Below are 12,632 nucleotides of genomic sequence, written 5' to 3' on the forward strand. Positions count from 1 at the left end.
CCAAGGCTCAACATTTTTGCATCCCATGTACTCTTTCTTTGGAAACCACTCAAAGATGTGTTTTAGCAAAATGAGAGTGTTAAACTAAGAAAGATAAGTCAATGGGACCCAGAAAATAGAGGAACCAACATAAAAAGAAGTAAGGAAAGTCCAGGATAATAACTACATAATTATCATGCAGTTGTGTGCAGCATCTTAGAAAGGCCCCATCTAAATTGTAGCAGGAGGATGGAGGAGTCCTGGAGTTAGGACTCTGGGGGAAAAATGATACTATAGGTAACATTTGAGGGCAAATAGTTACACATAAATATAAGCAATATGTGAGGCTATTATTAACTCCAGGCAAAACAAAAGAATGCACAAAAAAAGGAAGCATTGTTATAGAACAGTCCTTAACTTGGCAGTGATTTCTGATATAGATATTATGGCAGAGACTACTGGTAGCCAATCCAGTATTCATCTTCCCTTTGCTTCTTTTCAACAGAACCTCAGTTTACTTGGGGCAGAAATGTGCCCAGCTGAAGAACATTTCCCAGCCCCCTTTGCAGGTATAGGTGATCATATGAAACTATTATTATTATTATTATTATTATTATTATTATTAAAGACTAGGTCTCGCTGTGTTGCCCAGGCTGGAGTGCAGTGGCTAGTCACAGGCACACTCATATTGCACTACAGCCTCAAACTCCTGGGCACGAGCCATCCTCCTGCCTCAGCCTCCCAAGTAGCTGGGACTACAAGCTCACACCACCATGTCTGGTAGGCCTATGAAATTTTAATAGAAGCTGCTATGTGCTATGTAGGGCTTTTGGGAAAGCTATTTAAAGGGAACACACACTGTTTGCTCTTTGCCCTTCCTGGATTTCTCCACCAGGAATGGTTGCAATGTCTGAGGGACTGGGGCCTTTCTGTAACAATGACGAGGACAGAACACCTAGTAAAGCTGGATAACAGAAAAGATAGAAGGATCTTGGATTTCTGATGACATCCTGGAGCCTCCAAATGAGCCCTAAGCTTCATGTTCTATGAAAAAATAAATTGCTAATTTGTTTGAGCCAATGTTTTGGGATCTGTGTTACTGGGTGAACATAATTCCTGACACCATTATATTGGAAGAATGTGGTATTGGGATGAGGAGGGCTAATTCCTTTTTGATCATATGTAGAATGTTAAGAATAATATCCAAAATTCATAAACCAGGAAAGAGCAGTAAAGGCACATTATGGGAAATATGGAGATACATAGCAGAGGAGATATTTGCCAGTTGAAAGTGATTGTCCCTAGGGTGGAGTGGGATGGGACAGGGATTACTGTTTTTCATTAAGAGTCTTTCATACATTTGTATGTTGAACATGTATTACTTTGATAAAATTAAAATTAGTTTAAAATAAACAAAAAGATACTCTCTGGTTATTAAATCAATTTCTTGTCCTTAAAGTCACTTCCTATGAACTAGCAGTGTTTTATTATCATCTGGCCCATAGATGACCAGAGTCGTGGTAGAGCTTCAGAGAAATTATATGCCTAATGGTCCATTCTGAAACCCAAGTGTAATGTGATCACGTCATACACATATGACCTGATTGGCATTTCCTGTTTCCACCATTTCAGCTTTAATTTGTTCAAGGCTTATGATAGTTTTTCCACATGTAACCAGAGATACATATAGACAGTTCTGATCCAAATTGTTTTGGACATTCTTTTAGATCTCCAGGAATGAATATTCTATATCCAAGACACCTTAATAATTCATTAGAGTAATCGAAAACCACCTTTTGTTCTTATTCCTAATTGGTATCATTCTTGATTTAAATCCATTTTTTGTGGGTTTTTGTATGACTAGGAATAGCTGGTTACTGTCCTTCATATTTAACCATTTTACTTCTTATTCTTTTATCTCACTTTCCTTATATACGAGAAAGATTAGTCCCTCAAACCTTTAATATTTTAATGCACAAAGCTGATATTTAAATTAGTCTTAGAGATTAAAAATATTAACTTTTATGAATCAGATCTCTTTTTTTGTATGTTAGAAACAAGCAAATCAGGCTGGATCATTGATAAGCATGTGGACATAAGGAGGTGAATAAAAATTTTAATCAAAAGAAGCTTTGAACAGGATTTGCGCTCCTTGCTTACAAAAAGTCAATGCTTTATCTTTTAGATTGGTACTTAAATGAACAGAAAGATTGCCAGGATGGTTGTGTTATTTCTGATTGGTGAAAATCCTCTCCCACTTCACACATACCTGGATCTAAGATGGTAGTAAAGATAAAAACTACTTAGGAATCATGGTTTATGTGTCACTTTCCTTTGTTACACACAGATCATGGTGTGTGTTTTTTTTTAACATTTTTAATGGCCAAGGAAATAATATTTACCCTTATTTCCTTATAACTAGGTAACTTGTCATAAGTTTTTTTTTTCTGTTGAGAACCACTTATGAAAATCAACACATACTGAGATAGGCTTTCTTATATTATTCCCCTGATGCAAAATAAACATATTTAGTCATGGCAAGAAAAAAATGCAAACATGGGTATCAGTGCCTCAGCTTTTCCCATATTTATTAAAGAAATCTAAATATCTGAGAAACTACATTCAAATGAGGCTTCATTTTATTTCTCCTTTGAATCATTAATTTACAAAAGGAAGGGCTTATATTGCCTGTCTACATTATCTTATAAATAGCAATGCTATTTAATATTATTTTAATGTGAGTGATTTAAATAGCATCATACAATGAACAAAATAACTATTCTTTTTCATAGCATTATTTAAGTTGTACCACAGTGCCCTAGTGATATTTGTCCTAAACTATATCTGTGTGGAAAAAAAAGATAATTTTGTTATGGTCATCTTTAGAAACCAACCAATTCGCAAATAGGTGGACTTTTCTTCAACTGGGCAAATTAATTTAGCCCAATTAAGGGAATTTAAAACCAGCTGATACACCACACACTGAGAGGTCTAATGAGATAAAAATACGAGTACCTACATTACAGAGATGCACAATACAATATAATATGATATAATATAACCCACCAGGAGGTATTTGTGCTGAATTAAAAGGCAGGCAATTGAAAAACTCTCGTATCTATCATGGACCAGTTATACATCAGTCCCTTTTTGGACATGCAGGAAGTGTACAGTTGGTATATGGGACATCGGAATCCATCTCTCAAACTCGAGAACCCATACTCTTTCCAGCAGCATGTGGTGCTGGCACCCTAGTTCAGATGCAGGTCCCCTTTGGAATGAGGCTCAAAATGCAGTATGCCCATGACTCATCACAAACACTCCTTCACCTCCTGTGCCTCAATGGGGGTGATGGAATTTACCACTTAGATGGTTCTAAGATCCCCAACCACAATCTACCTCCAAAAGTCTCTCATGTTGCACCTTCAAGATGAGTCAGGAATTTGCCATTACATTTGGAAGCAAACTGAAGCACTTTAATGATTTTTTTTTTTTTTAGACAGTCTTGCTCTGTCATCCAGGCTGTTGTGCAGTGGCGTGATCTCAGCTCACTGCAACCTCTGCTTCCTGAGTTCAAGCTATTCTCCAGCCTCAGCCACTCTAGTGGCTGGGATTATAGGTGAGTGCCACCATGCCTGGCTATTTTTTTTTTCTTTTTTAGTAGAAACAGGGTCTCGCCATATTGGCCAGGCTGGTCTCAAACTCCTGGCCTCAAGTGATCCACCAGTCTTGGCCTCCCAAAGTGCTGGGATTACAGGCGTGAGCCACTAAGCCTGGCCAGCACTGTAATGATTTTTAATCACCTTAAATGGCTCTCCAAATTTGGGCTGTGTTCATCCAATCAACCAGAGGTAGGAAAAAACAATGCATTTGTCTGTTAAGGGAGTAGCCCTCATGGAAAAAGATGTTGGTATTGTGCTATGCAGAGGAGGATTTGGATTTTAGGGCTCTTTGTCTAGGACTGTGAATGAGGTTTTCCTTTTCCATTCAGAATTGCTGAATGATGTTCCTAGTGGAATACGTTTGTGTGATTCATTTCCACAGTTAGGAATGCAGCCTTAGAGCACTTTTCTTTATTCAGAGCTAATTGGTGCATCAATGTTCTAGCCATCGATTTCATTAGCAACATATAGATAGATATCTGTACATCTCTATGAATTGATTTTCATCACTCCCAGGGAATCCAAAGATCTCAAGCATAGAGACAAGTGCTTCATATAAGAAAAAGAATCGGAGAGACTCTCATGCCTTAACCATATGCTAACAAAGATGGTATACCTTCTTTATGCCAGAACGGTCATAGGTATTCAGTAAGTATTTATGGACTACAGCTATAACACCCTGAACATGCCTGATCATGTCAGTAAGTATTTATTGGGTGTCTACTATGTGCCAGGCATTGTTCTAGGTGCTGACGATACAGACAGGTACAAATAGGTTAAGTGCTGCTGTCATGAGCATACCTTCTAGTGAAGGGAGATAGACAAACACATCAACAAATAAGTAGAAAGTAGGTCTGATGGTGATAGGGGCTATTGTATGTGGGGTAAGGAGTGTCAATGGGATGAGGAGTTTCTATATTTTATAGGGTGATATTTTAGCAAAGTCCTAAGGAAGTGAGGAAGCAAGACTTTCAACTACAGTGATGGATGGGGGCAGAGTTACCCGGGCAGAGGAAACAGTGATTGCAGAAGCTGTGAGGCCAGGGTGAACTCAACCAACGCAGGAAGCCTATGTAGGTTGGAGCAGAGGGAGGAAGCACTACAGTAGTAGGAGCTGAAGTCTCAGGAATGTGTCTGAGGGTGTATGTGTGCGGGGGGCGGGGGCAGTGGTTGTGGGTGGGTGTTGGTGAGGCAGTGTTTGCAGATCCTGTAGGGTCTAGTAGATCACTAGAAGGATCTTGGGTTTTCCTTGGAGTGAGATGGGAAGGTTTCAGAGCTCAGGAGTAACAATATCCAATTGATATTATAGAGCTCAGTCTGACTGCTAGACAGAGAGCAGCCTGCAAGGCAGGAGATGTTAAGAGATGATGGTGGATTGGGACGGGGGTGGCACTGGAAGTGGGGTGACTTGGGGAGTTCCTGGATAGATTTTGATAGTACAATGAGTGTGGCTTGCTGATGGACTGTATGTGTCAGATAAAGAGCAGAAACGAGGTTTCCAGGTTGTTTCCTGGGACAGCTGGGAGAATGAAGTCACTATTTACTGAGATGGGGACAACTGCAGGAGGAGCAGTTGATAGGAGGGACCACAACCTTGCTTCAGTGTCCTGTGGGAGGGGCAGTCTGGAGGCTTTGTAAAATCATCCAGATAACAAGAAGGTCCAGGGATATTTGGATCATGCCCAAAAGTTTATACTATACATGGAAAAAATTGAACATAAATACTTAATTTATTATTCCCAATCAATGCAGTATAGCACTGTGGCTGGCAGCACTGATGCTGGAAACAGCCTTAGTCCAAATATCAATCCTGTCACTTAATAGTTGTGATAAGTTGGCCCATCTGCTTAATATCCCTCAAAGTTATTGTGAGAATTGAGGTGATTTGTTTAAAAATAATATTATTTAACATTTATTGAATGCTTATTAGAAGCCAGACACTGTTGTGAGCACATTTAATCTTCCTTCACCCTATGAGAAAAGGTACTAATATTATCCCCATTTTCCAGAGGAGAAAACTGAGGCACAGAGAGGCAAAGTAACTTGCCAAAGTCACACAGCTAGGAGGCCATAGATACTAGTTTGTGCACTCAGGCTGACCAGTTCCTGAAAACATGCCCTTAACCATAGAACTATGAGGAGAACACAGCACATAGTAAATACTCAAAAATAGTAGCTTGTATTATGATCAGGTAACTCATAAAACAAAAACGTCAAAGAGTCAGTTGTATGTTTATATGACTCCACTTGTAATCATTGCATGACTCAGTTTCCATCGTGCATTGCTTTCTCCAGCTCTATTTTGGGTACGTAGCCCATATTCTTCCTTCCTTGATATGATGAAGTCTTTGCTGAGAAAATCAGAACAAAATATTTATCATTTGAAAGTTCGCCTTAAAAATGCCCAAGGCACAGGAATCCTTAAGAGTCATAAAATCCATCACAAGCATGGAGACTTTTTTTCTGTCATTAATGTCATTTAGGACTGTAACATATTTACCTATGTCCCAGATACCGAACAGGAAGCAATTGTTCAGACACACTTCTAAGTAGCTCCAGGGCAGGCAACAATGTCTGACATTAGCTCTCCATATTTGTCTTTCCTTTGAATCATGGAGCTCACCCTTCAGCCCCAAAGTGCTTTCAGATGGGACCTTGCTGAGCGTCTGCACCTTATTTCTTTCAATTACGCTTGCATTGTCTGGCCTAATGAGTTTCCAAAGCTAGTTTTCATTTTATTTAGGGCATGTTTTCAGATGTGTTAAATTAATTGGTGCTAAATAAAAGGTAACCTGACCCCTGAAGCTTCTAGCAAATACATTCCATTACCAAATGTACTATTCTAACCCTCATATGTCTAAAAAAACAAACGTAAATGAGCTGTGCTGTACCTGTTTCTTCTTGTTGTGTATCTTGGGCAAGTCACTTAAACTCTCTGAGCTACAGTTCCCTTATTTGTACAATGGAACCATTAGTTGCTTTGGCTGCCCATTGAAATCACCTGGAAGAGATTTAAAAGATACGGGTGCCTGAGTCCCACCCCCAGAAAGTCTGATTTAATTGACCTGGGCTGGGCCTTGGAGCAGAGTTTTTAAAAGCTACCTTAGGGAATTTTGATGAGTAGCCAAGGTTGAGAACCACAGGTCTAGATCAGTGGTTCTCAAATTGGAGTGGGCATCAGAATCCCCTAGAGGGCTTGTTAAAACACAGGTTACAGGGCCCCACCCCAGAGTTTCTGATTCAGCAGTCTGGGGTGGGGCCTAGAAATTTGCATTTCTGACAAGTTCCCAGGTAGGGCCGATGCTGTTGGTTTTGGAAATGCTTCTGTATATCAGGGGTTGGCAAACTCAGGTACTCCAGCCCAAGCCTGCCCACCACCTGTTTTTGTATGGTCCATGAGTTAAGAATTTTTTTTTTAACATTTTCAAATAGTTGAAAGAATCAAAAGAATTATATTTCATGACATATGAAAAGTATGTGAAATTAAAATTTCAGTGCCCATAGATAAAGTTTTATTGGAATGCAGCCATGCCCATTCAGTCTACCATTAGACCAAGTGTGGGACCTCATGTAACTGCACAGGTTGTATGCCCAAGAAGCTGGCTCTGACTGACATTGACTAATTTAAGCTCCAAGCTTGATGTGTTTACCTCCTGAAGGGGATCAGAATATGCCAACCCCAAATATGCCTCTTTGGCATAATAATTATTTTGAGCTAAAGTCAAATGAAAATCAACAGCTGTCGGAAGAGTTCTCTGCCCTCCCTCTATCTGCCTAAAAGCAGAACATACATTTCCCTTTGAAGAAGGTGCCCCCTGTACCAGAGAGAGAAGAATGACTTTTATCATAGAAGATGGGGAGTTGATACCAAGAAGAGTTTGTATAAATAGACCTTAGTCCTTATTGTTCATTAGTTCCCCTATATATTTCCTAGTCATTTTCCCATAATTTATTATCCCTTGAAGCCCAAACCCTCTTTCCTTTGTTAAAAGGGTATGTTAAAAGCCCCTGAGTCTAGCTGCTTCTTTGTGTTTTGCTCCTTTTGTGTGAACTCTTGTGTATGTACTTTTTTTTCTTTTTTTGAGACAAGGTCTCTCTCTGTTGCCCAGGCTAGAGTGCAGTGATGTGATTATGGCTCACTGCAGCCTCAATCAACCTCCCAGGCCCAAGCAATCCTCCTACCTCAGCCTCCAGAGTAGCTGAGACTACAGGTGCACACCACCATGCCTGGCTAATTTTTAAATTTTTTTTGTAGAGGCAGGGTCTCCCTATGCTGCTCAGGCTGGTCTCAAACTCCTGGGCTCAGGCAATCCTCCCGCCTTGGCCTCCCAAAGTGCTGGAATTACAGGCTAGAGCTTCCAAACACAGCCTTGTACATGTAAATATTGATTAAAATTGTGTGCCTTTTCTCCTGTTAATCTATCTTTTGTTAGTTTAGTTTGCAGGCCCCCAGGGATTGAACAGAAGAAGGTAGATGAAAAGATTTCCTCCCCAATACTCGTTGCCTAAGAAATGTGAGACATTGTTATTTGCAGGCTCTTCACCTCACTGTTAGTCATCCCCCATTTCCCCCTCCCCTACAGCCCACATCACATGACATAACTGCACGAAAGGCCACTCCATTAGACAGAGAGAAAGTCTCTTGGAAACAGGATGACTTAAGTCAGATGACCTCACAATAGAAGGATTGTGGGTTATTACAAGACCCTGTGCCCTTTCTGGTAACAAATATCCATGAAAGGACCATCAAAGATGCATATAGAGCAAAAATTGCAGAATAATACCTATGTGTATGCTAAAAGAAAATGCTAAGAAAAAAAATGATAGGCATGCTGTGGGCAGGAAGAACAGGATGGTTGATATTTATTTCTAAATATCTGAAACCCAAAGTTATTCCATGGTATTTTAATAAAAGTCCCATATGTAAGAATCTTTTGGTAATAAGAAAGATATGAAAACACATTTTACTGGAAATAAGCATATAAGTTGTAAAGTTTTTAAAAAGCCCCTTCTCCTGAACCATGCCTCTAGTTAAATTTAAATCCAAGTAATATCATCCAGTTAACTAATATGGTTTTATCTCTGATTCTCTGGAAAGATGTGTATCCTTCCTGGTAACTATTCCCTTAACAAAGAGGTTGCTATGGATACATTTTTTTTTTTTTAAATTGAGTGCTGGCATTTTAAAGCCTGTGCAATTTAGTGCACTATATCTGGCCAGAGGGTTATACTAATTTAAGTGCCTGTATTTAATGCTAGCAATTTTTATCTTAATACACTTGCTTCATGCATTTGACGTGCCGTGTTCAAGAGCGTAAGAGATGGTGTGGGTGTTCTTTAAGGAAAAGCAAGTAAGACGAATATCGTACAACCCACCTAACTGCAATTGAATCAGTGGATGCTTCACTCGCCTGGAATTCGTCTGTTCTTGGTGTGTTTAATAATGAGTCATGCGATACATTTGCAAGGCAATGGGGCCACCTCCCAGGGCCTGGGGCCACGTTATGATTTTCTGCGCCTGAGTCCCCCGTCTTTGTTCAGACAGGTTGCTAATGCATCCCGCGAAGCTGACCTAATGCTACTTCAGTGGGTCTATTTTTCTTCTGTGGCTCAGCTCGAATGTGATATTCAGGAAGTCGACTGTCAGGCATGCAAATTGAGAGAAAAATATGCCACATTAAATCATGATGGTTTAATAAGGTATTACTCATGGGCAAATGGCTTCTGGTACTCTCCTTAGTAGGGGCAAGTTGAAAAGCATAACCTGCCCCAGAGAAGAGATCTAGCAATTTCATTGTCATTCCATCTTTGTCAAGGCATTTGGTGAAATATGCTCCAGTTGACATACTGTAGCTGCCAGTATTCTACCTGAAAATATAAACCCACATGTATCCTACTTTAGTCACCAATATTAAGAATCTTTACCATTATGATTACACTTGAGGTGAAATACCAAACATTTCAAATGCTTCTAATGATAGTTCCACTCTATGAATATGATACCACTTAGGAATGTTTCATGGTATCTCAAGAATTCCTTTTCAGAGCAAAAGGAAATCTTTACATTTCCATCTTTTACTGCAAATAGAAATTAATAAAATAAGTATTCATTTTCCTTGCAACTCAATTGATTTTTCTGTAATCTGTAGAAAATGAGCATGTTTTCTATATGCCTTCTATAAGAATGCATACATTTAAATTATACCTTTTCCAATCAGACATGGAATTTTACTAAGAAAAAAAAAGAATAAGTCTAGAATGAAAGAATTGTCATGCTGAAATTCTCCAGGTCATTTACACATTGATTACTTTGTCTGCTGCAAAACTATTAATTTAGTATTTGCCATGGCTTTAGAACTTAAGTTCTTTACATAGTAACTTACTTTCATAAATATGGAAGTATAATAATTAGGGTGGTGTATGTAACAATAACATAAAAACACTTATTTTTGACAGGCTGGTCATTGTCTGTCACAGTCATGTCTTCACTCGTGAAGATTGAAAGCAATGTCACATGAAGAAACTGGTTTCATTCTTCAGTTAACAATTTAAATCAGTGCTTAGTTGTCCCAGACTACAAAATATGTTAGAGGCAACAAAACCATTTTTAATCCTTCTTACCTAACTATAGATATTCCATTTAATTTTGGATTTGCTTTGTTAGATAGAGAGAAAGGAGAAAGGCAAAGATTTAAAAACATAAAACAGAGGGAACAGCATGAAAGCAACTATAAAATGCTGGCAAAATCTGGAAGAATAGAAACCATGTGGAAGTAAGTATTGTGGAATAAAGATTTAAAACCCTTCAGAAATGTTCTTTGAAAATCCAGCAACACAGAGGGGAAAAATGAAGAAAAATTAGCCAGTGCCAGTAAGAAAGCACTTTCTCTTTCCACCCTGACCAATTTTCTTTTATTTAAAAGAAACAGAACAAGATTAAGAGTTTAAAAATAGAGAGGAGGGCAAAACAGTAATCTGTAGTTTTTTTCTTCTTTCAGCTGTTCCTCTTTAACTATAATTAATCATCTTCTCCAAACAGCAGACCTCCAGGGAACTGCATTGAGGAAGGAAAATTCAAAGCAATGGAAACAAAATCAGTCCTTACAGGTTTCACCGTTGGGATTTGGACCCGGAGTGAAAAGAGGATAATGGTCTCAGAGCAGCCTCTGGTGGCTGAATGTCAAAAGCTCAAGAAGTCAGAGGCCACCTTACTAGTGTTCTCTTGACCTCCACTCTCCACGGTCTTAAGATTTTGTGCAAAGGAAGTTACTATTTAAATGACTTCAAGGCACTAGTTCAGAATTGATTAGGTTGGAATTGAAGTGAATTCATCAGTTTCAAGGGCAATCACAGATGGACTATGGATTTGATGCTGACAAACTGGGCCATTCCAACAATGGGGATATATATATATATATATATATATATATATATACACCACTGGTGACTGACACCTGAAATTCTAATTTTTAAGCAATCTGAATATTTTGATTCTTAAAACGCTGTGTGTGTGTGTGTGTGTGTGTGTGCATGTGTGCACAGAGATCTGTCCATCAGAAGCATTTGGGGTGCATTTTCTTGTCACAGCTTTCCCAGCTGTACAACATCTGTTTAGGACAGAGGCCTATACATTCCATCTGGTATGTTCCCCATTGAACCATCTCATCTGGGAAGTTTCCAAGGGGCCCTTTTCAAAATCTTGAGTCTTATAATCTAACTTGTATCAAATATCATGTCCAAAAGAGTGCTGCAATCTTCAGCTCCCTTTCTATGAGCATATCACATTTACACATCAGGTTAGAATGTTTTGTTCAAAAACAGATATTCTGTGTTCACCAAAAAAAACTTGAAGGTTTCAAACACAGTGAGGGTAAGTTTGTGAATACTCAAACACATATTTTAAATTGGTTTCAATAGGAGTCTGCTTTATGTATTTTTTTTTTTAGTAATTAACCAGCAGTTCTCTGGGCCTGCCAGAGGTGATGGAATTTTGTTAGGACCACATGGACCCTACAAAAGATCTATGGTATCAGGAGTTCAAGACCAGCCTGACCAACATGGTGAAACTCCATCTCTACTAAAAATACAAAAATTAGCCAGGCATGGTGGTGCACGCCTGTAATCCCAGCTACTCAGGAAGCTGAGGCAGGACAATCGCTTGAACCCAGGAGGCAGAGGTTGGAGTGAGCCGAGATTGCACCACTGTACTCCAGCCTGGGTGACAGAGCAAGACTCCATCTAAAAAAAAAAAAAAGAAAGAAAGAAAGACCTATGATAACTTGTGTGTACAATGTTGAATTTATAGAGCCCACTTCTTATTCACAAGGAAGTATCCTGGTTCAATCAAATATCAACATTAGAATTATCTGGGCTCCTAATTAATGCCTGAAAAAGAGACAGCAGCTATTTGGAAGTACAAGGAATTAATAGTAATGTACAGATGAACTTCTTAGTCTGGACAAATGTGCCACCATTAGGTAAGATGTTCATAACAGGGGAGGCTGGGGGAAAGGCATGCAGGAACTCTCTGTACTACCTTTGCAACTTTCTGTAAATCTTAAAATGTTCCAAAATCAAGAGTTTCTTTTTTAAAAAAAGTACAGAGAGTAATGTCGGCAAATACACTCGGGAAGTGGGAAAAGATGGACAAAGTTCTCTGGCAGAAGAAAAGTTTAATAACAGTAGGATATTGGCCTTGTCATCCAAGATGGCTGAATAGGAACAGCTCCAGTCTGCAGCTCCCAGCATATTCCAACTGAGGTACCAGGTTCATCTCATTGGGGCTTGTCAGACAGTGGGTGCAGCCCACAGAGCAGGGCAGGGCGTTGCCTCACCTGGGAAGCACAAGGGGTTGGGGAATTCCCTTTCCTAGAAAAGGGAAGCCGTGACAGACAGCAACTGGAAAATCGGGACACTCCCACCCTAATACTGTGCTTTTCCAATGGCCTTAGCAAACGGCACACCAGGAGATTATATCCTGCGCATGGCTCG

General features: G+C 39.3%; 1 protein-coding gene across 2 annotated transcripts in view, besides 1 other annotated feature; it reads right to left on the bottom strand.

Annotated features, from left to right (window-relative positions):
- Window positions 1-12,632, bottom strand: part of MID1 (midline 1) — a 388,374-nt gene that overhangs the window by 180,433 nt on the left and 195,309 nt on the right. The window lies entirely within an intron of this gene.
- Window positions 8,426-9,625: an enhancer, noted in NCBI's record as "P300/CBP strongly-dependent group 1 enhancer chrX:10602208-10603407 (GRCh37/hg19 assembly coordinates)". NCBI's record gives its function as "activates an origin of replication core promoter dependent on BRD2, BRD4, P300/CBP, MED14 and CDK7 cofactors, with strong dependence on P300/CBP, by STARR-seq in HCT116 cells {active_cell/tissue: HCT116}" and the evidence as "EXISTENCE:reporter gene assay evidence [ECO:0000049][PMID:35650434]".

Source organism: Homo sapiens, chromosome X (assembly GCF_000001405.40).
Source record: "Homo sapiens chromosome X, GRCh38.p14 Primary Assembly".
Lineage (NCBI taxonomy): Eukaryota > Metazoa > Chordata > Mammalia > Primates > Hominidae > Homo > Homo sapiens.